Raw genomic sequence first — 5,276 nt, forward strand, 5'->3', positions numbered from 1 at the left:
TACTTACAATAGCAAAGACTTGGCACCAACCCAAATGCCCATCAATGATAGACTGGATAAAAAAATGTGGCACATATGCACCATGGAATACTATGCAGCCATAAAAACGAATGAGTTCATGTCCTTTGCAAGGACATAGATGAAGCTAGAAACCATCATCCTCAGCTAACTAATAGAGGAACAGAAAACCAAACACCGCATGTTCTCATTCATAAGTGGGAGTTGAAGAGTGAGAACATATGGACACAGGGAGGGGAATATCACACACCGAGGACTGTCAGGGGGTTGGGGGAAGGGAAATGAGAGCATTAGAACCAATACATAGTGCATGTGGGGCTTAAAACCTAGATGACTGATTGATAGGTGTAGCAAACCACCATGGCACATGTATACCTATGTAACAAACCTGAAAGTTCAGCACATGTATCCCAGAACTTAAAGAAAAAAAGGGGGGGGGGCATGTGACTACATAAGGCAAAGCCAGACAATTTTCCTTTTAGTTAACTCCAGATCAACTGATTAGTAACTTTAATTATATGTGTTAAATTCCTTTTACCATGTAGTCTTTCAAAACCTTGAGGATAATATCTCATCATAATCACAGTCCCTGAAATATGGGTGGGGATATTGTACAGGGAGGCATTTTAGAATCCTACTTCCTACACCACTTTATTCATGATAGCCCAAAGCTGGAAATAAAATAAATTGTCTGAAGCCAGTGTTTTAGAATTTTTTATGGTACTACACCAATTGCAAGCACCAAATTTGGTTCCAGTATTGATTGTTTTATAAGAGACAAAACACGTGGTGACTTAAAACAACAGCAAATATTTATTTAAGCCAGAATCTGTCACTTAGAATATGGACGGGAAACTATGGAGACACTTACATATGCTTTCATGTCTTAGCTGACATGACACAATGGTTGAGTGCTGGACAAGCATCTCTCCACATGACTTGTCCATGTAGCTAGCTTAACTTTCCCCCACAGCATGATACTCTAAGGGGATTAAGACTACTTACATTGTAATTAATAGCTTCAACAGTTATTGTACCTATATATCAGAAATAGAAGATACTGAGAAATTGAAATAACCTACTTTTACCATGTTCTATTGATTATGAATTCACAGAGGCCCATAATCAAGAGAGACAGACATAAATTATGTCAATGGGAAGAACATTTAGTAATTATCAGAATTTTGGGGGAGGAATTAAAATATTTGATAACTCACACTTTTAAGCAGTGAAAACTGCAGAAAAAAATTGGAATACTTGGAATGAAGGAATAATAGCTGCAGAATGCCAAAGATGGCATTAACTTTGAAATTCTGAAATATTTTTAATTGAAAAAACTTTTTTGAGATATAAAGACTCTAGTAATTAAGATTTTGGATTTGTTTGATAATTTTGATGCAACTTCCTGGTCAATTCACATAAATTTCAATCTCAATTATTTTTTTCTGAATGAACTGAACAATTATTCAATGTCATACTCGTGTGCCTTTTGCAACTATGGCTGACTTAGAGTTTAACGCAGTATGATTAAAAATTGGGACTATAAATGTAACATATCAAACCTGTTATTGTGTTACCTTACATGTTGCCTTAGTCCATTTAGGTTGCCATAACAAATGTCTTAGACTGGGTGATTAATAAACTACTGATTTTTTTTTGCTTACAGTTCTAGAGGTTGGGAAGTCCAAGATCAAGGATCCAGCAGATTTGGTTTCTGGTGAGGTCTTGTTTTCTGCTTCCAAGATGGCACCTTGTTGCTGTGTCCTCACATGGTGAAAGGGCAAAAAGGGGCAAGGAAGTTCCCTCAAGTATCTTTTATAGGGGCACCAATCCCCTTGAGTATCACGGCTCATAAACATGCCAGGGAGCTAATTTATGCTCAATTCATAAACCCAATAAAGCAACATTTGCCACTGGAAAGGCCTGTAACTATAATGATACAGATTTGGAAATTTCTGAAGGAAGACTCTTATAAATATATGATGCATTTTATGCACTTTTTCAGGACATAAAAACACTCAAAAAGGAGCTCTCTCTCCCTCACACACACACAAAACAAGAAAACCTGATGAACCATTGACCCAAAGTAAACGGTCCTGCCACCTCAATAAACATTTCTAGGCTTTATTTGGTCAAATTATTTCTTGACACTTTTAAGAAATATAGGAGACTTCGTTGTGCAGTAGTGCTAGCGGCTTCACGGTTCGGTCCTCGGACCCGGCAGCCGCCACTGGTGCTGAGCTGTTAGGAAGCCCCTATCGGCGAGCTCATTGGAGCTTGAACCCATTGTCACCCCTCCGACTCACCGGCAAAAAAAAAAAAAAAAAATGGTTGAAGCAGATTGCCCAGGAAAGCCGTTCACTGGTGGGCTTAACACGGAAACAAATGAGAAAGCTCTTGAAGCAGTATTTGGCAAATATGGACGAATAGTGGAAGTACTCTTGGTGAAAGACCATGAAACCAACAAATCAGGAGGATTTGCTTTTGTCACCTTTGAAAGCCCAGCAGATGCTAAGGATGCAGCCAGAGACATGAATGGAAAGTCATTAGATGGAAAAGCCATCGAGGTGGAACAAGCCAACAAACCATCATTTGAAAGTGGTAGACGTGGACCGCCTCCACCTCCAAGAAGTAGAGGCCCTCCAAGAGGTCTTAGAGGTGGAAGAGGAGGAAGTGGAGGAACAAGGGGACCTCCCTCACGGGGAGGACACATGGATGACGGTGGATATTCCATGAATTTTAACATGAGTTCTTCCAGGGGACCACATCCAGTAAAAAGAGGACCACCACCAAGAAGTGGGAGTCCTCCTTCTAAGAGATCTGCACCTTCAGGACCAGTTCGCAGTAGCAGTGAAATGGGAGGAAGAGCTCCTGTATCACGTGGAAGAGATAGTTACGGAGGTCCACCTCGAAGGGAACTGCTGCCCTCTTGTAGAAATGATTATTTGTCCCCAAGAGATGATGGGTATTCTACTAAAGACAGCTATTCAAGCAGAGATTACCCAAGTTCTCATGATACTAGAGCTTATGCACCACCACCACGAGATTATACTTACCGTGATTATGGTCATTCCAGTTCACGTGTTGACTATCCATAAAGAGGCTATAGCGATAGAGATAGATATGGTCGTGATCATGACTATTCAGATCATCCAGGTGGAGGTTCCTACAGAGATTCATATGAGAGTTATGGTAACTCACGTAGTGCTCCACCTACACGAGGGCCCCCACCATCTTATGGTGGAAGCAGTCGCTATGATGATTACAGCAGCTCATGTGACGGATATGGTGGAAGTCGAGACAGTTACTCAAGCAGCCGAAGTGATCTCTACTCAAGTGGTCGTGATCGGGTTGGCAGACAAGAAAGAGGGCTTACCCCTTCTATGGAAAGAGGATACCCTCCTCCACGTGATTCCTACAGCAGTTCAAGTGCGGAGCACCAAGCGGTGGTGGCTGTGGAGGAAGCCGATCTGATAGAGGGGGAGGTAGAAGCAGATACTAGAAACAAACAAAACTTTGGACCAAAATCCCAGTTCAAAGAAACAAAAAGTGGAAGCTATTCTATCATAACTACCCAAGGACTACTAAAAGGAAAAATTGTGTTACTTTTTAAAAATTCCCTGTTAAGTTCCCCTCCATAATTTTTATGTTCTTGTGAGGAGAAAAGTAAAACATGTTTAATTTTATTTTGACTTTTGCATTGCTTTTCAACAAGCAAACGTTAAATGTGTTAAGACTTGTACTGGTGTTGTAACTTTCCAAGTAAAAGTATCCCTAAAGGCCACTTCCTATCTGATTTTTCCCAGTAAATGAGGCAGGCAATTCTAAGATCTTCCACAAAACATCTAGCCATCTAAAATGGAGAGATGAATCATTCTACCTATACAAACAAGCTAGCTATTAGAGGGTGGTTGGGGTATGCTACTCATAAGATTTCAGGGTGTCTTCCAACTGAAATCTCAATGTTTTCAGTATGAAAAACCTGAAATCACATGCCTTTGTAAGGAAAGTGCTATTCACCCAGTAAACCCAAAAAAGCAAATGGATGATGCTGGCCATTTTGCCTTTCTGACATTTCCTTGGGAATCTGCAAGAACCTCCCTTTCCCCCTCCCCCAATAAGACCATTTAAGTGTGTGTTAAACAACTACAGAATACTAAATAAAAAGTTTGGCCAAAACCAAAAAAAAAAAAAAAGAAAAAAGAAATATGTGAGAAATAACTATTTACCCCCTTAGAACTCACAACATTTAAACAAGCCCAATATTATGTAAGTCATTTGCTTTCTGGAGACAACCTAGTCCCCATTTAGGAATTACATTTAAGCTTATTTATGCTAATATTTCTAACTCAGTCATTTTAAAATGAGACTGCTACTAAAAAGAAAACTCCAGAATCTGTCCAAATTGCAATACAACAGACATTCCTGTTAGACTTCCTCTGTCCCTCAGAGTTTTTTCTTGTAGAGGCTTTAGTGATTTCCTTTCATGTCTGCTGGAATCTCTTTTCCAACAATGGACTTCTGATACAAAAACTGACCTTCTTGGCCCTGCGCTACATACCATTAGAGCATTATCTGATAGCTGCTTGCTGGGTTCTTCTGGGAATGGATACTATTACATGCCTTGAGACTATGACTTTCCATACCTGGCTGCCCACTATGACTGAGTCATGGAGGCAGCAACTGTGGCAGATTTAAAAAAAAAAACTTTCTGAATTTAATCCCATAATATGCCAAAGCATGAAAGATTTTCATGTGCTATGGAAGAGAAAGTGGTACTTTAAATGATAGACTAGAATCTAAGACCTCTGGAATATTCATCCCACCTAGAATTAGAAATTGCTTCCCTTGCTAGATGCAGTGAAACAATAGAAGGCCACACCTCTTTCAGGCCTGTCATTCAACTGGAGAACAACTTGGGATAAACTAAGTGGACAGAAAATGGAGTCCTGCATACTGTATGTATGACAATGATATCATCGTGCATGATGAAAGCCATTGGAGAGCTGCTGCCTTCCATCTCCTAACCAGGATATCTCTCATTAAGGGTAATACCCAAGGGTCAGAAGTATTGGCTAAATTTCAGGCAGTTGCCTTAGTGTTAGAGGATTCCCTGGCCAACAATAGGCTCCATCTACACATTTTATAGACTCTTGGGCCATTGCTAATAGCCTGAGTTCTGGTCCAACCAATGGCAACAATTCTTTATTCAAGTTGCTCCTTTAGGGTAAAGAACTCTGGTAATTTCTTGCCCTAAC

At 40.1% G+C, this 5,276-nt stretch overlaps 1 pseudogene; it reads left to right on the forward strand.

Moving 5' to 3' along the window:
• On the forward strand, window positions 2,191-4,201 carry RBMXP2 (RBMX pseudogene 2; annotated as a pseudogene).

Source organism: Homo sapiens, chromosome 9 (genome assembly GCF_000001405.40).
Source record: "Homo sapiens chromosome 9, GRCh38.p14 Primary Assembly".
NCBI lineage: Eukaryota > Metazoa > Chordata > Mammalia > Primates > Hominidae > Homo > Homo sapiens.